This window comes from Homo sapiens, chromosome 1, assembly GCF_000001405.40.
Source record: "Homo sapiens chromosome 1, GRCh38.p14 Primary Assembly".
Classification (NCBI taxonomy): Eukaryota; Metazoa; Chordata; class Mammalia; order Primates; family Hominidae; genus Homo; species Homo sapiens.
In genome coordinates this window covers 237,685,209-237,712,451 of record NC_000001.11, presented here as the reverse complement: position 1 = coordinate 237,712,451, position 27,243 = coordinate 237,685,209, and the positions used below count along the sequence as shown (strand labels likewise).

The 27,243-nt window shown below is 36.0% G+C and overlaps 1 protein-coding gene across 17 annotated transcripts in view; it reads right to left on the bottom strand.

The window, feature by feature from the left end:
• Nucleotides 1-27,243, bottom strand: part of RYR2 (ryanodine receptor 2) — a 791,805-nt gene that overhangs the window by 121,537 nt on the left and 643,025 nt on the right. For 10 of the 17 annotated variants that reach the window (XM_006711802.4, XM_006711804.4, XM_006711806.4 and 7 more), the window contains 9 exons: nucleotides 24,948-24,997; nucleotides 13,427-13,487; nucleotides 11,985-12,223; nucleotides 10,393-10,474; nucleotides 7,109-7,239; nucleotides 5,183-5,503; nucleotides 3,354-3,594; nucleotides 2,885-2,972; nucleotides 615-707 (listed from right to left, as the gene is read on the bottom strand). In XM_006711802.4, the coding sequence (XP_006711865.1) occupies nucleotides 615-707; nucleotides 2,885-2,972; nucleotides 3,354-3,594; nucleotides 5,183-5,503; nucleotides 7,109-7,239; nucleotides 10,393-10,474; nucleotides 11,985-12,223; nucleotides 13,427-13,487; nucleotides 24,948-24,997 (1,306 nt within the window). Of the gene's footprint in view, nucleotides 1-614; nucleotides 708-2,884; nucleotides 2,973-3,353; nucleotides 3,595-5,182; nucleotides 5,504-7,108; nucleotides 7,240-10,392; nucleotides 10,475-11,984; nucleotides 12,224-13,426; nucleotides 13,488-24,947; nucleotides 24,998-27,243 lie in introns of those variants that run through there. The other 7 variants (XM_006711808.4, XM_047427333.1, XM_047427336.1 and 4 more) reach the window with 2 other exon arrangements.

Sequence of the window (27,243 nt, the reverse complement as noted above, 5' to 3'; positions counted from 1 at the left end):
CAAGTCCTAGAGAAGGAAATGGCTTCCTTGGTTTGGGGAGCTTGCTTTTCATATACAAGTCAACCAACCCAGAGCCCACACTGACCCCTGCCTCACCTATCGGGCTCTTATACTCTGGGCTACTATCCACCTGCTCTAATCACTCTGGGACTAGGTACCAGGCAGCCAAGGACAGGCCCTATGATGTGGAGCCCCTGAAAAGTATTCAAATTAGCCAATCAGAAACCTGTTTGCCCTGCCTTGTCCATTCCTTCCAGTGGAGACCACGAGGCAAGCTCTCGCCCACGTCTTCTCCTTGCTCTCTCTACCTCCTGACTGACCCTGACCTCTCCCCGGGGGGCCCTGCCTGGCATGCCATGCCTCCTGTTTCCAGGGATCTGTCAGTAGAAATGTCTTCCTTCATGACAGTCATTTCCCGTCTGCATGTCTTACCATGCCTGATTCAAACAAATTCCAGTAACCTTAAAACAGCTTGCATATTTGAACCAATTTATAACATTACCAAATCTGTCAGATTCCAGTTACAAATCTTCGAAAATCTAAAAAAAAAAAGTCAATTCATGAAAGTCACATTCAGATATTTTCCAGAACAGTGAAACAGTTTATAGTAATACCTTTGACATCTTTGACTTGGTATCAGTAATAAGGAAAGACATATTGTTGATTTCATTCTGTACAACGAAGTTCTGCTCTTCTCTTTTGAAATTCTGAGAAGTTGCAAAGGAAATTTCAGTTAAAACCACTTAAAGAAGTCTTTGTAATTAGAGGTTACACAGAACCTGCAAGTTTTTACAGAGATAAGTATTAATTTGATATATAAGAATTATCAAAAAAGGATACAAGTATTTCTTGAGTATCTAATGAGGGTACTTGGCTAGAAGCAAGAATTCTGTGAACTAGATATGAATATGCACATTGCAAAGATGGGAAAACTAAGATTCAGAAAATTTCATTGCAAGATCACATGTTTACCAAGGAGTAGAATGAATATTCAAACGCCTGGTTAGCTGGTGAAAGGCATATACTGATTCCTGAGATTAACATAGACTTTCCGAGGACACATAGAACTATGACGTAACTTTCTATTCTGTCAGATTTTTTACCTGTTTTTAAAATACCATATCATTATTTATTCCCTTTTAATTTGGGAACATAAAAAGACTGGCAAAATCAATTTATCTTTAAATATTTGGGGAAAAACATAACACATTAGCCAATTTATGTTTATATTAATATATGCCCATGAGATTCAAAAGTACATATTCAGATATTTTTGCTTATTCTTGAAAGTATGATTAGACATTCATCTGAAAACATACTGATTATGATAAATACTCTTGTTCCAAACTTTAGTCTTGTACCTAAATCTAAAGACGCTTCTTCGGCATTTTAATGATCGAGGAAACTGAAGAGTTTCAGTTCTTCAAATAAAAATATGCAGTTTTTAGTAATTTTTTCCTGGGCTCCCCCTATTTTCCCATGAGGCATTCTAAGTGAAGTAACCCAACAGGGAAAACAACAGGCAAAAAGCAAAAATTCATCTTTGTTTTTTGGCAGCTCAAAATGGACTGATTTCTTCTGGAATTCATTTATTTATACATTCATTCATGTATGTATTTAGGGACAGGGTCTGGCTCTGTCACCCAGGCTGGGATGCAGCTGTGCAATGATAGGGCACTGCAGCCTCTAACTCCTGAGCTCAAGCAATGCTCCCACCTGTCACCGGGCATGCATTATCTATCTATCTATCTACATACCTAATCTATTTATCTTTTTACAGTGGATTTTGAATTTTCCTTCAGAATACCTTGGATGATCTATTGCATCCCCCAAACATGAGTTACACAGGATAAATAAATTTGTATCTTTGTGAAGATACAAAGTTGCATGTTAAGCAGCCATTATTTCATATATCCTTTCTGAGTGATTATGTTTTTAATGTATGTTTTTATATAAAGTTTGCTATTAAGTTTGACAGACTCCTCAGATGTAGGCAATAAATAATATTTGTCATCCCAAATATTAAATATGCATATTTAAAAAATATTATGTATTCAAAGTAACTTGATTTGTACAACAGTCTGATTAAGTAAACTGGTAAGATATCTCAGATGATAAAACTGAGGTTGAAATTTTTATTTTCTTTGTCTCTCATTTACAGAGTGGCATAGAATTATAATTGATATAAAAATTCTAAATTTTTAAAATAATTCAGGATAATCATCAATGCTCTTTTATCTATATTCTGCTAGTTACTGAAATAATGATAGACTACTATACGATTGTTATGATTAAAATCTTTTCCAGGTTTAAAAATACATAGTTCCACTTGCAATACACAAAATAGTGAAAATTCACCAAATACGTACTTTAGAAATTCTATCAACAGGATTGTCAGTAGAAAGAAGCTTTATTTTAAAACCCAACAGATTCTAAAATGTGAGCCAAACTAAATTCCTTAGGTGTAAAGTGTGTGAAGATAAAACAAATTTATGGAAGCAGTACCTTTACAAGTAAAATGAGTGTGGGTTATTGTTGGAAATTGCTAGTCTATTTAAGCACGTCTCAAACTGAGAACTGCAAATTAAGAGAACAAAATGCCAAGAGATAGGGAAAGCTAGATAGTAAAAATAGTACATCTTTATGCAATGTCAATATTAGTCCAAAATTTAGGGGCAAATTTAAAATATGTTTATGGAGTGCAATTAAAAATCCCTGTGATTTTTTTAAAGGATAAATTGCAAAACTCAGAAGAAGGTTTATATTCCCTCAAACTCCTCAGGGGAACCTATTCTCTCTCCTCAACTGTTACATGAAACCTAGGAGGCAAGTAAGCAGGTGCCTACAAACAGTAGGCGTGATCTATCAATATTTTCACACTCACATGGGACTTCGACCAGTAGATAAACACTTCAGCCACCATGCGGAAGAGCTCCTCTGCTTCTGGGTTAGGCTCCTTTAGCCACTTTGCCCTGGATCACATAATAAATAAAGTGGTTTCTCAGCTACTCCTTAAAGTTAATTTAAAAAAAAAAAACCATCCCCCCAAAGTTAAATGTACTGACCACAGAGCTCATGATGGTTTCAGCACAGTGTTGTAATATTTAAAAAAAAATTTAAACATCATAACTGTCAAACTGTTAACTTTTACATGCAAAATCAGAATGAAACGGCCAACTTTGATTTTAAGGTGTTTTAATTTTAAGCCAAAAATTAACTTGCCTATAAACAGTTAATTATAATTACCAACAAGCTCATGGCAAAATAGTGAATGAAGCGATTGAACAAGGACATGTGAGCCAAGAAACGTTATGACCGAATTGGAGAAATTACTAAATTACTTTTGATCATACCTGTTATAGTCCACAAATCTAATCAAGAGAGGGTAGAAGGCATAGAGATCTCTGGCCAGTGTGGTGAACTCATCTAGGATGAGGAGTTCTGCCTCCGACATGTCCCCCCTGGCCTCAGCTTTCAGGTGGTCTTCCTCAGACACCACCGTAGCTGCCTTTTTCTTGAGTTTCTCCATTAACGGCAAGAAATGAGTTTTCAAGAGCTGAGGTTTCACTTTATTTATTATAGGCTGGGAAAACACTGTTTAAAGACAGACATTAGTATTCTGCTCTGTAAAACCATTCATTAACATGATGATAGATTGTAATTACAATTGTAACATAATTAAAGCCTCCTTCTCCAGCACATGACTTCCTTAAGGGTACAGCTCATGCCTCAGCCATTTTTCTAGTCCAAGTTCTAATTGCATAGCTGCCATTAAAAAAATGTTTACTGAGTTGAATTCAACGATCTTCCTTGTTTTTAGAATAGATAGCTAATTTAGAATGAAAAAAAAGACTTTCACTCATTTTGGAAATCATTTTCACACAAGAAATAAAATTCCCAAATGGAAAAGGTTCCCCTAACCCTTAGAATAGGGACAAGCTCTGCTACATAATTACTATATGAGACTATATACAGTTATCTCATTTTAACTATCCCCATCCTTGGCACAATGGAAGAGTTAGATTATATGGAACACTGCTCTCTTATTTAATAATAACCATAGTTGTTAATAATAGTTCTAAACTTGATTGGGCCATTTTTAAAATGACTTTTTTCCCCCTGAAAGTAACATATATGCACTGGGGAAAAGTATACAAGAGAAAAGTTAAAGTCAACCATAATCATCTACCCAAATTAATAAGTCATTGCTGCATTTTTCTGGAGTTTTCATCAGTAGATAAATTCATTTACATATATATTATACATATAACATTCTGAATTCATTGTTTTAAAAATTCTCCATTTTTCCCTTCATAATATGAGTATTTCCAGGGCATAAAATATTGTTGAAACTTCAACATTTAAAGATGACATAGACGTGGTGGCTCACACCTGTAATCCCAGCACTTTGGGAGGCCGAGGTGGGTGGATCACCTGAGGTCAGGAGTTCGAGACCAGCCTGGCGAACATGGTGAAACCCCATCTCTACTAAAAAAAAAAAAAAAAAAAAAAATTAGCTGGGCATGGTGGCAGATGCCTGTAATCCTAGCTACCCGGGAGGCTGAGGCAGGAGAATCACTTGAACCCGGGAGGCGGAGGTTGCAGTGAGCCAAGATCTCACCATTGCACTCTTGCCTGGGCAACAAGAGTGAAACTCCATCTCATAAACAAACAAACAAAAAACAAAATATGACATAATATTCTGGCATGTAGATGTATACAACTTATTTAGCCATATTCTGGTTATTGGGTACTTAGATTGCTTCTAACTTTTCAATACAAATAATGCAATAATTGTAGACATTAGACTACATTTTTTTGGTTTACCCTCCCTTCTCTTCACATTCTCTATATAACAGATGGCTACAAGTGGATTGCTAAAAGTTGAATGTTTTATTTTTGTCTCTGGCTATAAAATCATTAGTTTTTACTGCTGTGTTTATTGATTAATCTTACAGAGATTGACAAGTCAGAAAAATGTTTACTTAAAAGTAGTAACTATTTAACATATACCCAATGCCTGTTTTTATCTACATTAAAAAATAGCATGACAAATACTAATATTTTTGAGTAAAGAAAATATTAATAAAAATTGTGATGGGAAAATTCTAGTTTATGTATTTAAAATTCTTTTGGAAATAAAACAGATTTCAGGGGTACAATGTCTTCTTCCAGTTCTTACCTGCTAGCCTCTTCATCCAGGCTCCCTCATCAATCCCCAAGTTATTATATATGATTTTCAATATGTTCCCTAGAAGTGTGTTCATGTGCTCTGAGTTCAGGGCTGTGCAGCACATCTCGGCCCGTTCTGGATTGTTCTCAGGTCCATGCTCCCACCAACGAGACATGTAGCTGCAAAGCATGGGCAGTATGACTTCCATGACATGTGGCATTTGAGTGTAGCGAATGCCGGACTCGGCTAATTCCACGATTTCTTCCATGAGTTTCTCCAAAGACGGTATGTTTGGACAAACATCTTCCACATTAGTTGGCAAACTGAGAGCTGGAGAAGTACATATAAAAATGGATGATATTCAAAGAAAGTACTGAGATGATATGGCGGATTTCCACAGGCAACTATTTCATTTTGGACTTCAAAATTTAGCAAGACGTGGCATGCCTGCAACTGGCTCCTTCTCCTGTGTTTCAAGGTAGCTATTTCAAAGCTTCTCTCTTTCCCCTAAGTTCCTACTGTACCATCACTCCCAGAAAACAGCCATTCCTCCTACTTTACAGCAAACAATAGTATCAAATATTTCCTCCTCTAACTTTGCTGCTCTCATGACCTACAAGCCATTTATGACTGGCTCCACCTTGGCCTCCATTCCCCGTTTTCGAGGAAGTTTTGAAGTCCCCCACTCACGGCTCCACCAAATACCTGATGCCTTGCTCAGACCTGTATTTTCAGCCCTGTAATACCTCCTACCCAGCAAGATACTCAAATCTTTCCTGGATTACTTAGCTATCCAGGCACTCTCCGTCCTCAGGAACAAAGCTGCTTTTCACTGTGCAGCAAAATTGCACTTTTACAACTCATCTTTCCAACCGTTCAGTGGCATTTCATACCCAGGACCAAATTCCCTTTTCCTAAAACTCCCTTCTTTCTTAACATCAATGTGCCCAGCCTTTTTGGCTCCCTCTGAATGTTGTCAGTGTCCTTACTGACTCTCTTCTCCTTGCTGAACTTTTTTTGTTGTTGCTGCTGAGACAGAGTCTTGCTCTGTTGCCAGGCTGGAGTGCAGTGGCGCAGTCTTGGCTCACTGCAAACTCTGCCTCCCCAGTTCAAGCGATTCTCATGCCTCAGCCTCCTGAGTAGCCAGGATTACAGGCACACACCACCACGCCCGGCTAATTTTTGTATTTTTAGCACAGACGGGGTTTCACTATGTTGGTCAGGCTGGTCTTGAACTCCTGACCTCGTGATCTACCCACTTCGGCCTCCCAAAGTGCTGGGATTACAGGCATGAGCCACTGCGCCCAGCCCTTGCTGAACTTTCAAATGCTGATTATCTTTAGGAATCTATCTTTGATTCTCTTCTCTTTTTTGGTTTGCATGTTCATCTAGACAATTTTGGCCATTCTTTCTGCTATAAGCTAATATCTGTAAAGCCATGTTTCTTAAAAACTGTTCTGACTCATCCTGGATGTCTCAAGCACAACTAAAACACGATGGATCTAAATTTAAACTTCTCTTTTTCTCTCCAGCCTATCTTGAGCATGCCCTAACTTGGTGGGGACATTATCCAGTCAGTCACCCAGAAGAGAAACCTGGGATTACGTCTAGGCTGCGATACTCCCTCATCTGCCACACAAGATGACTCTACCTCTAGGAGCTCTCACAATCAACACACATACACGCTGTCCAAGGGGCCTGCTCAGTCACCTTGCTCTTGAATTACCACATATTCTGATTGCTGCCCTATATGTATCATATCTCCCTCATCTATCACAGGGTACATCACATAGAATACCAAACAATAACATTTAAGAACAAACAAGATTGGATATAGTAAACTGAAAGAGCTCATTAAAAATCACTATTGGACAATATGATAAATATCAAGTTTTAGCTTCATATCTCAAAGCACTGCACATGTTTCTGTGTTACCTGCTCTTTCTCGTGAAGACTTGGTATTGTAGATGGAGTAAATATTATGTTTGTCCAGATGAGTTTCCAAAAATGCTACAGGAAAAGCACCAGCAAAGGCAGCTAGACATTCTCCTAATGCAGAACGTTGCCTATAAGTGGAAAATGCTTATGTTTTAAGGTCTTCCAAGTGAGTAACTAAAAAAGTCATATTACAATTAGCAAATTTAACCTAAAAGGAATGATAATATTGGTCCTAATAAAATTAACTCCCAAATCCAATTTCTGTATTGCTAAACATCATATGCTTTCAATAGCAATATCCTCACCATTTGAAAAAAAGCTAAATTATCTGTTAGCAAAAAATTATCTGTCAACTTATTTCCTCATATCTGATTGGACTAGTCCTTTTATTTCATTAATTCACTTTAAAATTCTGTTTCAATTAGTGATTCTCAGACTGATTCTGATAATTTGTGTTGGCATTCTGGAAATATCAATTTTTCTTTTGGATGACTTATGTTAAAATATCTATATTTGTAGATATTTTAGAAAAAGTTCCACTGTAACTTTTTGTAAATATCTATTTTTTTCAAAATGTCTTTTCCTTACCTTTGAATTTTTTTTTGTTTCCCCAATCACTTTATAACCGCAAAATTAATTGCACAAAAAAGACTTAAAAAACAAGCCACCAAAAACCAAAACATTATTTAGAACCTAAAAAAGTGACCTCGAATTTTGTCCAGATAAATATATAGGCAAAAACAACAATGACAAAAACAAAAGCTACAGCAATAAGAAGGAATTAGAGGGTTTGAAAAACCAGATATTAAAATATTTTTAAAAATACTAACAATTCAGGCTATATGATATTGATTTAGTCATAAAAAATCAAATAATAGAACAGAATAGAAATTCTAAATGTAATCTAGTAAATACATTACTTTACATGATGGTTTTATTTTAAATCAGGGAATAAAATAAATAGTTAATAAATGATTACTTTACAAATGGTTGATGATTTTAAAAATTTAATTTGAATCCTACATAATACCCAAGAGAAATAAAGTTCAGATATATTTCTAGTAAATTCCCTTCTTATCTCAGAGATGATCATTCTAGACATTCTCTACTTTCCTTGAGCTTTCCACACTTCTTTTCTCAGCCTTCATCTGGCTTAGGACTCAAGGCATTCTTCATTGAGAAAACAGAAGCTACTAGACACAGACCTACCTCATATAGCTTCTACCTGTTTTCTGTTGCATAGAGAAAAGTTATAAGCTTCAAAAGTCGCCTTCTAAAAGACACATTCTCGACTACCTTGTTCTCCAAATTGTGTGATTATTCATAGGACAAACTATACCTTGCCACTATAATATTTATCAGTTTGCTTGTTTGTTTTGGTTTGGTTTCCTCTACCAGATATAAAACCTATGAGAGTAGAGAAGTATCTTGTTTATTTCTGTATCCTAGTATCTGGCATTTAACAAATATTTAGGATACAAACAATAGGATTATAAAGTTAAATATAAAGAACTGGAAGCATGAAAAGTCTAGGAGGATAAATGTTTGAAATTCTAACTGCTAAATGTGTAGTCTAAACTTATCAGAATAATAAAACTAAGGGGAAGAAACATACATGAAATAATTGATTGATTATGTCAAAATTATATAAAATTTGATTATATAAAAATTCAACATTACCATGTCATAAAATGCTATCTGTATATAATTTTTATATATTTTATATATATATATATGTTTTATGTATATATTTTATATATAAGCACTATATATATATAAAGGTAAAAAATGGTAAAACTCACAAAAACAGGAGAAATAGGCAAGAGGTTAATCATTTTAATGAACAAAAGCATTATTACAAATCAGCATGACAATACATGAATAGAAAAATAGATGCAAGATGAGAAAAGGCAATTCATAAAGTAAAGAAACACAAATGACAAGGTAAACATGAAAAAAATAGCAAGTAGATGGTAATCAGGAAAGTGCATTTGAAAATATAAATAGGGATCCTATATTTTCACTATCACATACACAAGCACTAAAAAGAAAAAAAAGATAATCTGAGTAAGGAACAAATGAGGAAATTAGCATTCACTTCTAAAATTTGAGAATGTAAATGGAAAGGATTTTCTGAAAACAGTGAAATGAGTACCGTAATCCTGTAATACAGGCATACCCTTTGACCTATAATTCCAAATTCTAAGAATACAGCTAAGGGAAATAAGCATAAAAATACAATGGAATCTATGAACATAGATCTGGCATTATATATATTAGTGAAAAACAGAAAACAGCCAACATGTCAAAAATAAAGTCACATATCAATAAATTATTATACTTCCTTAATATAGGTCATAACCATAAAAATAATATGAAAATTGAGTTTACTTAAAATGAAGGTAAGAAATGTAAAATGTTCAGAGTAAACCCAATTATGTTTTTCCATTGATCTAATTTGCTATTTTTATGTACAACTGTCATCCTATTTTAACTACTGTAGCTTTATAGGTTTTAATATTTGGTAGGCCAAATGAGTACCTGTTCATTACTCTTTTATTCCCCTGCAAATTCCGTTGGCTAGTCTCATGGGTTTATTCTTTGAAATAAACTTTTGAATGATTTTGTGAAGTTGGAAAAAGCAAATTTCTGTAATTTGCTGTACTGAAATTGTACTGTAATTACAGGTTAATTTTGGGAGAACTTATATCTATTCATAATTAAATCTTCTATCAGAATATGTTTTTATTTATTCTGACCTTTTAAAAAAACTTCCCTGTTTTTCTTCTCTGGTTCACAGAAATTTCTTACTAAAGTTGCCAGTGATCTCTTTATTTTAAATTTACTGGGGATACCTTTTCTTATGTTACCTATTCACATCATTTAACACTGCAAACCACTCCATCCTGAAACTTGAGAACATGAGAAAATAAAACTAGGTTTAATAACTGCTCATATTCATGTTTACTTTGAATTTCTGATATATAATGAGAAACGATACTAGCAGGTGCTTTCATAAGACTCAAACACTCAGCTGAAACTTCATATTAAGTGTAGTCTTTACCATTAGTGCTTTACTTTCTTTGCATAACTCCATTGTCCTTTATTATATCAATTCTTATTTTGTTTAAAGATTGTCTAATTACTTCCAAGGAATTTCAAAGGTCAATCCGGTTTAGTTTATAACTAGGAAACAGGTTATGAAATGAAGATTCTTGAAATAAATAGTTATAAAACTTGAAGCAGCAATTAATACAAAGTTAAACTTTAAACATTCTTACCTCTCCACGTAAATACTCTTGCTGGTTCCCAAAGCATATAAGCTAGTCAGAATTCTATAACAAGACACCTGGACATCTTCCACTAAGGAAAAAGAGAATCTCACTTGAAAGAAAAACCCACTTATTTATACATTGTCCTGAGAAAGCTTAAGCTATGTACTATTCAGTTTAGGCTATATACTATTCATCCATAAAAAGAATGAAATCATGTCTTTTGCAGCAACATGGATGGAACTGGGGGTTGTTATCTTCAGTGAAACAAGCCAGGCACATAAAGTCAAATATCACATGTCCTCACTTATAAGTGGGTACTAAACCATGTGTACACATGGACATAGAGAGGAGAATAATAGACAAGACTCAGAAGGGTGAGGGGGCAGGAGGGGGTGGATGACGAGAAATTACTTAATGGGCACAATGTTCATTATTTGGGTGATGGATGCCCTAAAAGCCCAGACAACTGTACTTGAAACCCGTAAATTTATACAAATAAAAATAACTAAACAAAAGGCACATCTGCTTTTTTTTTTTGAGATAGAGTCTTGCTCTGTCACCCAGGCTGGAGTGCAGTGGCAATACTGGCTCACTGCAACCTCCACCACATAGGTTCAAGTGATTATCTTGTCTCAGCCTCCCGAGTAGCTGGGATTACAGGTGTGCACCATCATGCCCAGCTAATTTTTGTATTTTTAGTAGAGACGGGGTTTCACCATACTGGCCAGGCTGGTCTCGAACTCCTGACTTCAGCTGAACCACCCACCTCAGCCTCCCAAAGTACTGGGATTACAGGCATGCGCCACTGCACCCGGACTAAGCATGCTTTCTTAAAACAAAATTTAAAATAAACGTTCTGCCACTGGTAGTTGTGGCACCCACTGAGTAACTCAGCAGTTTTTGCACAGAGGTGCCCATCACCTGAGGAATGGACAATGCACGAGTCTGAGTTGGTGATTCTGCTCAACAAAGGCTCATGTCCTGAGCAGGGCAGTGGGGAGTTCAAACAGCTCATGCGTATTTTTTCCACGTAATCTTGGGCATTCTGTGTATAGTTTTATTAACTACTGAATGCCAGCCCAAAACAGAAGATTAAAGCTTCCCTAAAAACTGTCAGAAACCTCTAAACAGAGGATATTTGAGCCACTCTAAAAGGCCAATTATTTAGACACAGACTTTGTCTCAGTCGTCTTCACATTATTACATTGTCAAGCTTGGAGAAACAATCTACATTGACTCAGAAATAATTTGAAAACATTTACTGTTGCATGTTATATGGTTCAACTGCATTAAAACGTTTATGTGAAAAGAGGCAATGTAGAAATAGTGATCATTTGGAAACTTCAACAATGTGGAAGTCATTTTCTATAACCAGTACCTTACTGGTCCTCTCTGTGGGTCCATGTAATTCAGAGATCTATTTCTGTAAGAATGGTGTCTATCACACAAATGTCAACCTATAACGTTTTGCAATAAAAAAGGCATTTTAACATGTAAACAGTGTTTTAGTAACCCAGATGTGGCTATTACTGTTTTTGATTGTACTACAGGGTATTTCGATTAAAAAAAAAAAAACTCCAAGATATAAATTTACATACATATTAGGTCTTCTCCGAACTGATGCTGGCCAATATGTTCAAATAATGAAGACAGCATTGGCAGCAGGGCCACTGTGGTGTAATTGATAATCTGAGTAACCCCTTTGGGCTGGTTTCGGGTGTGAGTGAACTGGCCCTGCTTGAGGTTTTCCATGGTCTTCTCCAGATCCTCTGCAGCGTTGTCCAGAAAAGCTCTGAGTGCACTTTTAACACTCTCCAGGCCAGTCTTCATCACTGTCCTAGAAAGTAAATAAGGGAGGACTCGTATCTTCCAACAGGAACAAATGAAATATAAATGAATTGTGGTTCTCTTATGATGTTTATTTCTCCATTACTCTACTCACCTGGTAACCAACTTTTAAAATCAACTCTAAAACAAATTTTTTCAATATACTTGAAGTTACAGCAATACTGCTCTGTAAATTATCTTTTCCAAATGCCTTCATAGTCAACTTATTAAAACCTTGCTGCAAAAGTCTGTGCTAATGCTGTATGCTTATCACTAACGGTCTCCAATTTAACTAACAAAACACAGCTTCTGAGTGAGTATAGTTAATCCGAAATCCAACAAAACTAGAATGTTTCCTGAGGCAATGAGTAGCAAAAAAAATTTCATGCCAGCTAAACCAACTCAACAAATGATACAGAATGTTTGTGTTTTAAGGTGTAGCAATCAAGTCTTTTCTAATGAAGCCGCCGAAGGCTGAACTTCATACCTTAATGCCACTATTTGTAGTAGGAAGTGAAGGTCTGTAATGGTGTCTCCTTTCTGCATTTATCATACAAAAGACCTTAAATGAAATCTTAAACGCAAGAATGGATAATCAAAGAGTATTGTGGAATATTCTCTTTAGGAGACATTTATAAACTTTTATTTAGATTTATCCTAGATATAAACTAAATGTATGGCTGAATCAATCATGCTAAATGAACTGATTTTGTATTTGGTCAACATGCTAGATTTCTGGTCAAGTTGACAGGGCAGAGTAGAAAGCACACAGATGGGAATTCGTCTACCTACACACTTAGTATGCAATCTTAAACATCACTTTATTCATCTGTAAAATGAGAATAAAACTCTGTTTCCTAAAAAGCCAAATGTTATTATGAATGTTAAGCACAAATATCACGCCTGGAAGCTAACAAGATCTCTAGAGTTGTCAGATTACCATTTTTCCTGCGTGATACATTACCAGTTCAACCCTCCTTTATGGTCCTAGCTGCTACAGAAATTACCTGACATTAAATAATAATCTATATATGATCATAGACATAAGCTGCCACTGTATTAATTTTAAAAAGTTTTTCTTTTCACCTACACTAAAGACTTTATTACAAATCCAAAGAATAAAATCCAGACACTGGGTCCTTCTTAATATTCTTATATATATACATGTATCATTATTATAGTAATTTATTTAGGTAAAAATGTATCCATTTACCTTGCATCCAAAGTCTGACCCAAAATATGAAGACAGTTGACAATTGATGTTGCATCATTGCCTAAAGAGGAAACAAAATGCTGTATAAATTGCCCTGAGAATTTCTCAATGTTCTTCTTTTCTACCAATATTTGTGCTAGAAAAATTAGTCAATGACACAACAGTAATATTTTAAAAGGTTTTTTAATAATCAAGTTTGAAATCATGCAGTTTTTCTGCTTAAAAGTGGTTATGCAAATGTAAGTAGAAAAGCAATAAAGCATGTCTCATCAAATAGCTGACATGCCCAAGAAGCATTCAAAAGCACTGCACCAGACTAAAAGAGTTTTAACCGAGGTTTTCAATAATCCCCTCTCCCTCCCATCTCACTGTATTTTTAAATCTTATTGTTTACAAACTTTTAAAGTCAGCTCATATCCTTTATGAAATAAGGTGGGCTTAAAGTTTAAAAATTTTCATTCCATTCTAATTGCACCAAAAATTCTGCTTTCTTATTTCATCCCACTGCATTAAGATGAATTAATTTGCCTGAATTCCATTGCATGAAGGTAAATTAATTTCCTTGAATGTTATTGGTCTTTGGCAAAAACCAAAAAGCACCAAAACGTCATGTAAAAAAAAAATCAGACACTAAAGAAGTTAAATAATACTCCTCTGAGATTTTCAGATGGTAGTAACTCCTCTTGAAAGTAATATAAAATTCACTCATTTTGATTGGCATATTTTACAAGGAAGTACAGAAATATGAGTGATAAAAGCATTACATATATTTTTCTTCGTAATGGGGATACAGAAAGCAAATAAAATGATGAATTCAAGGTAACAAAATAATTTGACCACTTACAATATAGTTTGACATGATCAGTTCCTCATTACACACACACACACACACACACACACACACACACACACACACACACTATCATCTCCTGGGTCCTGAGATTGACAACTATTATCTGAATGTAAGTTTTTGTAATACTGGTATATGTTATATTCTTTATACAAAAAGTAACCTAAAATGAATGACCTAAGTACACACTGAAATTAATAATTGTATTAGAACATGGGCAAGCCAGTTTAGTGATATGATACAAATAAGAAAAAATAAGGTATTTATTACTGAGATTCTGAGTTATTCATGAAAATATTCCCTCATCTTGTGCTTCAAGTCTCAGAATTCCTGGTAATAATGAAGACAAAATGAGCAGAATGGTAGGATTTTTTATTTTCCTGTCCATTGGCAGATGCCAGCTCTGGGGCTTCTCCTGGAACTCTTAGAAGTATTCATTTGATGATTAATTCACTTAACAAAGAAAGATTAAAACCAGGCACTCTCAAATTTCCAGTAATGAACAAAATAGTCCTTATGGTACTTGCATTTTAAAGGGGGATATAGATAACGAATCAGTAAGCAAAAAAAAAAAAAATCATTTAGCAAAATATCAGCATATAACATAATAGCAGGCCACAGTTAAATATATATAAAAAATATTTGTTATATACAAAAAGATTATATATAATTATATTATATAATATATATTTCTATAAATATATTATATATCATATAATATATATTTACATAAATATATATTATATAATTATATATGATATAATTATATAATATATAACATAATATATAATATGCAATTATATATTATATAAATATATATTATATATATATACTATATATATATACACACACACACACACCTACAGAAACTGGGTAGAATAACAGGGATAGTGCTCATGAGTCCTTCCTGGAGGCGGCATTTGAGCAGAGGTTGGAATGACATGAAGAAATAAACCATCCATGTATCTGAGAAGGAGATCCAGGTACAGGGAAGAGCCCATGCAAAGGCTCTGAGGCAAAAAATGAACCTGGTGTTCCAAGCAAAGAGGGTCAAGTGGCTAAGGGAGTCAGAGCAAGAGGAAAGAAGCAGAGTATGAGTTGGAGAGGTTGGGAGAGGTCAGGTTCTAGAGCTTGGTTAGAGCAAGCCCTTGGATTTTCAGTGCGGTAGGAAGACATTCTTAGGTTTTGAGCAGGATGGGATATGATACGATTTATATTTTCAAAGAATTAATTCCCTATGTGGGAAATTCTGGAAGAGCAAAAGTGGAAGATAATTAGGGACCTACTGCAGGAACGGAATCAGTTCACTGATGATGGTGAATTCAGATTAGGATATCAGTGGTGAAGAACTTGAGAATATATATTTGAAGGATTTACTTATGGATTGAATGTGAGGTGAGCGGGAAAGCAGTCAAGGATAACTCTAAGGTTTTCTGCCTGAGTAATTAGGTGAAAGGCGGCACCACTGAATGGTGTAGAAAGAGAACGAGAAGAAGCAGACTGTGGGAGGAAGGGGATGCGGCGGGGGTGGGGGATGGGGTCCTGACCCTTGCTTTGCACATATTAAGTGTGATGGGCCTATTAGTAATTCGGGTAAAGATGTAGAATAGGCAATTGATTGAAAAAAAAAAAAAAGTCTGCAGTGCAGGGAAGAGATCTAAGCCAGAGCTATACACTTGGGCATTGTAAACATACATTTAATTCTAAACATCGTGGGTCTCAATGAAACTAGCCAGCATGAATATAAGTAAGAAGAAAAAAGGCCTAGGGCCTCCAGTGTTTGGAGGCAGAGAAGATAAGAAAGATGCAGTATAGACAATGGGAAAGAGAAGGCCCATGAGGAGGAAGAGATCCAGTGCAACGTATATGAGTCCTATGCCACTATTAATCAGCCCCAAATCAGAGAGGCAGGTCCTTCATTTTTCCTAAACACTCAGTTGTCTGTCCCTTTCCCTTCCAATCTGCTCTTATTATAGATTATCAGTGTTTGTACTTGGTACTGAGTTTTCCTGTGCCCTTTTCCATGAGGGGTGGCCAGGGATACTTTAAACTTCTATTAATATAAGCCTGGCAGGCTGGGATTTTTGTTTGCTTTGTTCCCTGCACCTAGAATAGTGTCTGACATACAGCAGGCCCTTAAAATATTTGTGGACTGTCTCTGGGATGTAAGAAGAGTAGGAAACAGCACCAGGAGCCAGACAAATTCTGTGGGTTGACTGAAACTGTGTATTGGGAATATGAAATTTCTGTGATTGCTAAAGGAATAAACTGAACTCCACACATTTTTACATCTTGGTAGACCCCTTTTAGACACAGCACAACTTTAAATAGAAACACCTCTATGTAAAAAATGGGAAAGGGACTCTAAGAAGGCAGAAAAAGTAGAGTCTTCAATATTTTAATTTGTAGACCAGGCAAAAGTGTCAATCCCATTAGCATGTGTAAGAAGCCTAAAATAATGTGAGTCTTGAAGAGGTAAAGCATGTGGTAAGGCTTTTCAATAAAATAATGACTTAAATATTGTCCTTCTTAAAGCTATCCAGATTACCATAATCAGAAATGTCAATCACGTTATCAGGAAGAACAGGAAGGGCCAGCAGAGTTTTGTAAGATGATAAAACTTTCAGGTGGCAACTGGATTTTTATGTACTTAAGTTTACATAATTGATTCATTGCTCTGGGTGGTGAAAAAACCAAAAGATTGATACTTTTCAACTCACAGTATTTCAAGGACCCAGCTATTTCCCTTGTCCTCAGATACACACCTCTCATCACCTCTGAGCACTCAGGGAAACAATGATAGATTGCCTATTTGTCCTTAAGATTGTGTATTTATATCAGTGCATCAAGGTGTACGTAAACATAAAAAGTACATAATTAAAATAATAACTTACACCTGGGTCTAATAACAATAGGGACAACATTGGGTTTTAAACAAATTATAACAACTCTCATATATGACTCTCTAAATAATAAAAACAACAAATTACATAATATAACTATAAATAATTTTTGCATATTAATCCCAAATTGTTTTTTTAAATAAAGTTTCTATAACTCAGGAATTCTCAATGTTAAATTTGACATATCATATGCCAGTTCTGTTTTATAATCTGATATGCTGAGAATTCACAGAATGTTGACTTCTCTCTCTTCTGGAAACAGTGATAGCAGTCATTGTACTTTTTATTTTTCTCTACTTTTCTAATATTGTATTCTTTTCTCTGAAGAAATGATTAATCTTGGCAGAATTCTATTAACAATGTGAAATACCACTGTGCCAGAACTTACAAATTTCTCTCACAATTATGAGGGAATAGAGAGAAATTGCAGAGTGTCAATGACTTTGTTATTTCTAAAGTCTGTGATATTGAACAGAGTAAAATTATTGGTTCCCTAATTTGGTGAGGAGTTTCAGTCAAACCGAGGACACATTTTGAATAACTACATATTCTATTCATTTTTCAAAGCCAGGAAATTCTCCTATAATGCTATGTTCAACTGAAAGAATTATCTGTATCGCTCTAATACTATGTTGATCTAATGCTATGTATACTTTATTACTTTCATTATAGGCATCTAATTCCAATATTTCTGAACTTCTCTAAAAAAATAGGATTTTTTACAGTATATATAATAAGTTAAATCCAGGAAATAGTTGTTTTTGCCATGCATATTGTCATAGTACTACAGAATTTTTAAATTAGAGAAAGATCTCAATGATCCTCCAGCTACGAATAACAAGGATAAGAAAATAGTTACAGATTGCGCATGATTGAACCATTACATTCTCAACTTAATGGCACACTGAATCCTCAAATATGCTTCTATCTGCAGTGATTCTGAGTACTTTAAGTAATTTTTCTTTTTTTTTTTTTTTTTGAGAGGGAGTCTCGCCGTGTCGCCCAGGCTGGAGTGCACTGGCATGATCTCGGCTCACTGCAAACTCCACCTCCTGGGTTCACGCCATTCTCCTGCCTCAGCCTCCCGAGTAGCTGGGACTACAGGCGCCTGCCACCACGCCCGGCTAATTTTTTGTATTTTTAGCAGAGACGGGGTTTCACCTTGTTAGCCAGGATGGTCTCGATCCCCTGACCTTGTGATCCGCCCGCCTCAGCCTCCCAGAGTGCTGGGATTACAGGCGTGAGCCACCGCACCCGGCCAATTTTTCTTTTATTATATGTGTCCTACCAAACACAAGCACAATCTGAGCCTTGTTAGAGATAACACAAACATATTAATTTTCTAATATAATAACTTCTGAGATAAGACAGAAATCATCATTTAAAGACGTCAGTGTTTTTTGGGAGAGATATTAGAAGTATCAACATAAACTTAATCCACTAATTTATTGATTAGGTAGAAATAAGAGTTGATAGGCTCCATTGTATTACTTTATTTAGTATCTACTTTTAAAACTCTTCCAAACGTAACATTAAGATTTATCTACTGGTATAAGTCAGGCATACTCACCTAGAAAAAAACTGAATATTTTAACAACAGCTACTGTTTCATGTTAAACACATAATAATATTTATCTTGTTTAATACTCCTGTAGCTAATATTGGAGTTGTATTAATGATGTTATACATTGGGTTCTAGGTCAGTATTATGCTCATTGTATTACAAAATGCTGGCTTTTTGTAATAACATCAGGTATTCCTAGATGTACCTATGTGATTAATTCACAAATTCTCCACTAACTCTGAGGAGTGTCCAGGTCATTCAATGTCTCACTAGGATGTTAAAAAGGCACCAGAAAACTGGAAAGTAGAAAAGGCCTATAAGTGACAAATATTTCATGCCTGCCTTTTCAAATAGTTCCTGGAACTGAAAGGATCATTGTTGGTTGAGTTTCATGATCTTATTATTTTAAGGGTCATTAATTATGTGTTATTTTCTATTCACTGTAAGTGGCCTAAGTGTTTTCATGGACCTCTTAAGGAATAAGAGAAAAAAAAAAAAAACATGATTCTCACCAATTGTAGGATAATTAGGTACTACATTTTTCTTAATAATCTCTTAAGCAAAATAAACAAAGGAAAGCTGTGTCATTCGTGAATGTAAGAAAATTTCCACGTTCTTAGCACTTGTCTCATAGTAAGTGTCTGCGTACTTATCTACCTTCTCTATTAGACTATAGGCTTCTTGAAGGCCGGACCTGGGTGGCTCATTCATTCATTCATTCATCATATATTCATAAAATATTTACTGTGTGCCAGACTTCCTGCCAGGCACTGAGAGTGCAACAGGAAGACCTCACAGAGCTGAGAGTTTATGCGAGAGAAGAGAGATATTAATCTGGTAGGCATACCATCAGTGACATGGAGGAAAAGTACACGGCACCAGAGACTATTATAATAGTAGCAGGACGGAGTATTATCAAGGAGGTCAGGGAAGCCTTTCTTGAGACAGTAATATTTGGATTGAAGTCTGAAGGATGGATAGTTTGTTATGAGTGTGAAGGATTGAGGAGATGAGTAATTATGTGTGAGGGTCCTTTACTCAGGCGATAATTACAGCATGTGCAAAAACCCTGGGCAGAAAGGAATCTAACACATTCAAGAGGCAGAGAGAAGGCCAAGGAAGCTGAAGAAGCATAGGGAGGAGGAGAGACTGGGCTGGGACACGAGGACGGAGTGGCCCATGGGGAATGGACGGTGAAACACTAATGTGGCTAGGTTAAGAAACGTGCTTTCTACCCTAAAGGCATGGGAAGCCACTGAATATGCAGGAGTGTAATCAGAGAAGTGTGTTTTGAGAAGATTTGATAAGATCATCGTGGAACACAGTTGAGAGAAGCAGGAGGGGATTCAGAGAGAATGGTCAGTATGCTCCTGCAATAGTACAAGCGAAAGATGTTTGCATATTGGTCTGGGTTCCGGAGTGGAAAGAGAAATCAATCTTCATTTTCCTATCCTCACATCTTGAGTGAATGCCTTTCACGTGGCAGACATACAATACATGTTTATTGAATGAATGCATAAAATGAGTATCATCAAGGCATTTGATTTATTTTCACATGTAAAAAGAAAGCCTTTAAGGCACTCTGATAAGCACCACCTGTGCCACCATCATTATTACTGTTGGACTCTTAGTTATCAGATGCTGCTTCCTCTAAAAATGATTGAAAGATTCTAACAGACTGTAATAGAAGGGCTAATGTATCCTCTAACTGCCTTGAAAATAGTAATCAGAATTTCTAGGCAGCAAAAGTCAGGGGTAACTCTGGGAATCAAAGCACTGTTTCTTTAGTCAACACTGGTCCTTGAAAATGGCAAATGATAAGGATATCACTTGTCAACCTGCCTACGTCCTATTTATGTCCTACCTGGATTTCCAAAATTCGTTATGTGCACCAACTTATAATCACTAGCAAGCATTTCAGAATTCAAACAGGGAAGCCTATATTTAGACAAGAAGCTATTTTCTTTCTTTTTCATTCCATAAATTATTCTAATTGATTCATCAGAATTCTATGGGTAATACCGCTTGTCTTCCTTTTTAAAAACCTTAGCTTTTTAAACATAACATAAAATGGTTTAAATGTCTCAAAAATAATAGATTAGGCATAAAAACACTATTATCTTAATTCCTGTATAGTGTCCATCAATGCAGAAGAAATATTTTAAAGTAGATAACAAAAAATATAAAAGCCAAAGTTTTGAGAATCCTCATTTCATATGTCAGAAAAATATTTCAACCACAGGCGAGGTTTGGAGATATAATTACAATGTGGCAGCCAACCTAGAATAAATATTCCATTACCCATCAAACTCTGCTCACCACAATTACTACCACCAGAACATGTATTTTGTCTCTTCATTTTTTTTTAATGCTCCTGTCCTGTCTCCACTTTCTGACATATTTAAGGTTAACATGTATCTTTCTACATCCTTACCTTCTCTGATCATCACAAAACTCAAGTATTTTCTTGTCAACCTCAACTTTCAATTCTGTCTTAATTTACTCTTAGGTTTAGGTCATGAAAAAATCTTTAAACCAAGATAGTACAGGAAATACAAGACAGTACAGGGAATATGTGAAGCTTAAATGCTTAAGACTTAGAGATTTGGCCGGGCGTGGTGGCTCACGCTTGTAATCCCATTGATAATCAATGTATTTCCTGCCAAAATGCAAGAAAATGATAAAAGTAGACTGAAAAAGAATAGATTAATATGACCATATACAAACAAGCACTGCATATATGCTACTGGGTCTCTCTGTTTGGAAAAATCCACACTGGCATAGCTGATAAATCAAAAAGTAAATAGTTGGGTTATAACACTTCTGATTCATTCTGGAAATGGGTGTATTATAAAGGCTTTACTGTGTGTATTTTTGTGTGTGTGGTGTGCAATGTTGGCTCACTGCAACCTCTGCCCTCCAGGCTCAAGCAATCCTCCCACCCCAGCCTCCTGAGTAGCTGGGACCAAAGGTGTATGCCACCAGACATGGCTAATTTTTTGTATTCTTAGTCGAGATGGGGTCTCGCCATGTTTCCCAGGCTGGTCTTGAACTCCCGAGCTCAAGTGATCTGTCCGCCTTGGCCTCCCAAAGTGCTGGGATTCCAGGCGTGAGCCACTGTGCCTGGCCCTGTGTGTGTATTTTAAAGGGCTAAGTCTACTAGTTTAGTATGTAATTTATGTAAATAAAGTATAATAAGCTTTAGATAAGTTAATAAAATCTAATAATTTTAATAAGACTAGAAACATCTTATATGTGAAAACTATAAGGTTACACTTTACATAGCACTTTAACATGAATTATTTCACAAAAAATTGATCTCTAGGTTTATTAGGTATTTTAGCCCACTTTAACAATGAAAAAATGCAGGTTCAGAGAATTTAAGTCCCTTGTCCAAATCATTCAGCTGTTAAGTTAGAAAAATAGGACTTACAACTAGGTTTTCTGATTCCAAACCCACTATTCTCTCTAGGATGTCATATTAGCATCTACAGCCCATAATATGTGACATTTAAATACTATACCAATACCCATAATATGTGAAGCTTAAATGCTTAAGACTTAAAAGATTTGGCCAGGCACGGTGGCTCACACTTGTAATCCCAGCACTTTGGCAGACCGAGGTGGGCAGATCACCTGAAGTCAGGAGTTCGAGACCAGCCTGGCCAACATGGTGAAACCCCGTTTCTACTAAAAATTAGCCGTGTGTGGTGGCGTGTGCCTGTAATCCCAGCTACTTGGGAGGCTGAGGCAGGAAAATTGCTTGAACCTGGGAGGCGGAGGTTGCAGTGAGATGAGATCTCACCATTGCACTCCAGCTTGGTGGGCAACAAGAGTGAAACTCTTTCAAAAAAAAAAAAAAAGACTTAAAGATTCTAATAATTTGGCAAATCTGTACTAGATGTTTGATTAATAAAGCCATGTTGAAGTTTATATTTTATAGGCAAATATCAAAGCAAATTTGAAACAATAACATACACTTTAATAATATAAAAATGTGCAAAAATGCGCTTTGAGATATAAAGAAAACATACCAGGTCTCCAATAAATTCCCCTTAAAAATAAAAATAATAGTATTAAAAGGCTAAGGGATGAAACCACAATGTCTAATTGAAATACTAGGACCACACAGGGAAGGAACTAATGTTAAGGTCTAGTTTTTCACCCCTAACAAGCATGACAAACTGTATTATACATTTATCTTCAATAACCAAACTTAAATGATATATTCAACAAAAATGGAATTTCAAGAACAGCTGAAAAGAATCCATAGAATGGAGTCTACATATAGTTCCTCTGGAGATGGTTATAATTTGAAAAATGACACAGGGGAGGCTCCTGGCATGTTGGAAACGTTCTATGTCTTGGCTTGAGCTATGATTAAATGGTTGTATATGCATATACATTTTCATCAAGTTGTTCTTTTTATTTGCTTGTATTAGAGACAGGGTTTTGCTCTGTTTCCTAGATGAGAGTACAGTGGTGTGATCATAGCTCACTGCTACCTCAGATTCCTGGGCTCAAGTGATCCATCCATCTCAGCGTCCTGTGTAGCTAAGACTATAGGTGTGCACCACTGCACCTGGCTAATTTTTTATTTTTATTTTTTGTAGAGCCAAGGTCTTGCTATGTTGCCCCAGCTGGTCTTGAACTCCTGTCCTCAAGTGATTCTCTCACCACGACATCCCAAAGTGCTGGGATACAGGCATGAGCCACCACACCTAGCCAAGTTGTTCTTAGGATTTTGTAGTTCAGGTATGGAATACCTCAAAAAAATTTTAAAGGAAATTATATGAGGTATAACAGGAAAAGAAGGATATACAATAAGCAGGAAGTTAGAAATAGCACCATAGAAAGTATTATTATGCTCATTAATAAGACCGCAAAAGGGCAGCTGATATGTATAATTAGATAGCACTTGCTGAAGACAAATGGAGAATATTTGAATCCACTGTTATTCTGAGAAGGTTAAAGAGTGTATGAAAATCCTGCCTGAATAAGCCCATGAAAATATTTCTCTGTTGAAGAGAAGTTAAACAAAAGTCAGTGAACTAGAAATTATTCTAAAGATAACTGCCCCATTGATTTTAAATAACTGAAATATTAATGTAAAAACTCAGGCAATTTTAATGAAATATAAATTTTCATTACTAAATTTAAGAGCACCAAATCTTGGATATAATACTAGAAACCAAATATAGCAATAACCTACTATATCCAGAAACTATTATTTCTCAAAAAGTGTAATGTGAAGAACTTATTTGTGCATATGTGTGTGTGTGTATATATATATATGTATATATATATACCCGTTCCTCAGTTTAACTGTGACTTTGTAGAAATGACTTAATTTTTTTAATCCTTAGCTTGTCCTGTAAATAGAATTGAACTTATAATACCTCTAGCAATACATTCAATGTTTTATTACTAAAATTACTCCAACACTGTCTCAAAACCTAGAGAGCAAAGGGTTCACATTTTCTTCGGCAGTTTATAAAATCGGATGCAGGAAAGTGTGAAACACAAATTCCACCAGCCACTAAAGATTCTAAAGCCCCACGGCAGGGAAAATCTGCGGAAAGTGAGTGCCCACCCTGCATGGCTGTCCGGAAGCAGGTGCTCTGGAACATGGACTCCAGCTAGGTGAATTCTCAGAAACAAACAGAAACTGACCCTGGAGTGAGTGGTGCTAGAAAAGCCACTCTTGCCAAGTGAAGCTCCGAAGCTCCTTGGCTTCAGTGTCTTGACTATGACGTTCCAATGTTTGGAATGCAGAAGACATGCAAATCTGTAGTCAAGAGCATTAAAAAAAATAAGTGCAGTTTAAAATTTTGATTTATAACAGCTCATTATTTAATCTGTCAGAGGTAACCAAACACAAATCCAAGGGCCTGGCTTTGTTTTGTTTTTACCCCTGAGATAAAATACGGCACAGCCTGCCATTTTCATTCATTTGCTCTTTAATAATAGTCTTTTTACTTTCAGTTATGCTTTGGACTAGTGTAAAAAAGATAGAGTCCTCAATTTCACCATACATAATGCTATTTATGAACAACCTCGAGGACCTTATCTTGGCCTGCAACGACCATGCATGCAGCCATGCAAACATGCATCCATGCAACATAGCAGCACACAACACAGTGCAAAAATGGCAAAGAAAACCAAGTGATGGCCATGCTTGTATTTTTTCAAGGGTCTCCTTACCAAATAGTGAAATCCTATGCCTGACAAGAACTCCAAGTTTGCAGAATAGGCTGAAGACAAAAGAAAAACAAAAGAGAAAAGGGAAGGGGGAAGGGAAGGTAGAAAAGACAGGGGGAAATTAAAAAAAAAAAAAAAAAAGAAGAAGAAAAAAGAAAAAAAAACAGCTGATATATGAGCCGGAAAAAAGCAACATGATGTCACGCAGAAAGAATCAATTCTCTGAGCAGAATGTGGAGTAAAGGTATTAAAGAAAGAGTCTTTGAGTGCATCTCTTTAACAAACATGGTTAAAAAAGCACATATTATAAGAAACCAAAAAAAATTGAAAGCAAAGCTAATTAATATAAAAGCAATCTATATGAACCCCATAAGGATATAACTACTGAAAAACCACCAGGAAAAAATTTGGTTTTATCTGCCCAAATGTACCACTGAAACTCTGGATTTAAAAAATATATATATGGACATTATTTTATTTTACAACAGACGTATGGTGCTTCGGGCATACAATGTTACTTTAAGTTTTAATATGTTTTATTATTTGAAATCTCCTTCGTCCCCAACCTTGATCACACTCCTTACGTAACGTAAGCATCCAGTGAATTTGAATACAGTAAAGTAGGAACAGAATTTGAGCAACTGATAATCACTCAGAGGAAAGCATTACAGATGTGATAACTTAAAGTCTCTGGATACCTATAAGTTCAGTATATTTCTTATCTGCTCCAGAGCAGGTTCCTGTGTCTTTGAGTCCTTCATGGCAATTAGCAATGAGCCATTCCAAATAATGGCTGCCCACATTCAGCATTCAGCCTGACAACGCTGGTATCCACTAACTCTCAGATCAGACACTTGAACCTGGGAGATCCCTGCTGTTTGTCCTTTCTTTTCACCAAGCCTCAGCTGGGTGGGATCCTCACAGGTCCCTATTTTGAGAAATACCCTTCACTCATTTCCATGCTATCCTCCCATCTACTCGTCCCTCAAAACTCAGCTCAGAATGAGTTTCTTCCAAGAATAAACTCATTAAACTAAATAAACTCAATAAAATAAGTAGGTCAGCGTTCTGACATCCAGCCCTCCTGTACAGCTCCCAACCCAGGCTGCAAGAGGTCCATACCCAGATGCTCTCAGGGGCCATTTGCAAATCTCTACCAATACAAGTGACATTATTTTCAAATCTACTCACGCTCTTCTCAGCTCTCAGAGAGCACAGGCTCTACCCAGCCAGCACTCACCCCAGAAAATCTAACCTTGAAGATCCATGTGTATAGTACCACCCACACTCAGCTTGATTTTTCCCAATAACGAGAACAGCTAAGTCCTCACTGACTATGTTCTCTTGCAAAACTCTGCATTAACAGCTGTGATCAAACGTGCAGCTCCCCAGGACTAGGGATACAGACCAGCCATGGAATACCATGAAAGTGGCTTGGCTGATCAGTGGCAGGATGGGAAGAGAGGGAAGCAGAGAAGGTAACGTTTGTGAGGTTGACCTCTTTTACAGTAAGTTTTGGCCATCACCCCTCACTTCTGTAACAATGTGGATTCATGTATTGATGAAAATTATGTAGGGTATTTTGTAGTTTTCCAAGAAAATGTTCATCTACAAATGTCTGAGTGAATCTGAGGTTTTGGGGAATTTCTTATCAGAACAAAATATTTTTAAAACAATGATCTATTCAAGTGGCTACTAGACATAAGATTAGTCATGAGGCCCTTGACCTGCCTTATTTATCTTTGTGCTATAATTTTAAGACAATAAAACAGGAGAAACTTTGTCCACGTGCCCTTATCTACTGAGCTTTATGGCTGACAGCTGTGTGTGCTAACTCAGACAGGGTCTGCCTTTTTCTAAAGAGAATAATTCAGTTTAGAATTGTACATACTTTGGATCCCTGTACTCCAATCTATTTTAAGTCATGTATTTTACCTATTCCTCTCTAGTATCCAGAGTGAAACATTCTGAGATATTCTTGATGATCCAGAATTTATAATGCTAGGATTAGGTCTTACTCAATTAATCCAAACCTAGGATGTTTTGCTATAATGGCAGACTGCTCTATGTCTCATTTATCAAATTATATGTAATGCCTGAAAATCTGTCAGAGAAAAAGGACTTGACAATCTCTGCTGATTCCTCACCACATGTGCCACCAGAGAGAAATACAGATACAGAAGGCAAGGTCCTCAAAGAGGGCAAATTGTAACTCTTTCCCCTCCTGTGCAATCCACTTTTAGGGCATGGTATTCATAGAAACTATAAGGATTAATTATTATAAGCTTTAGCCTATATT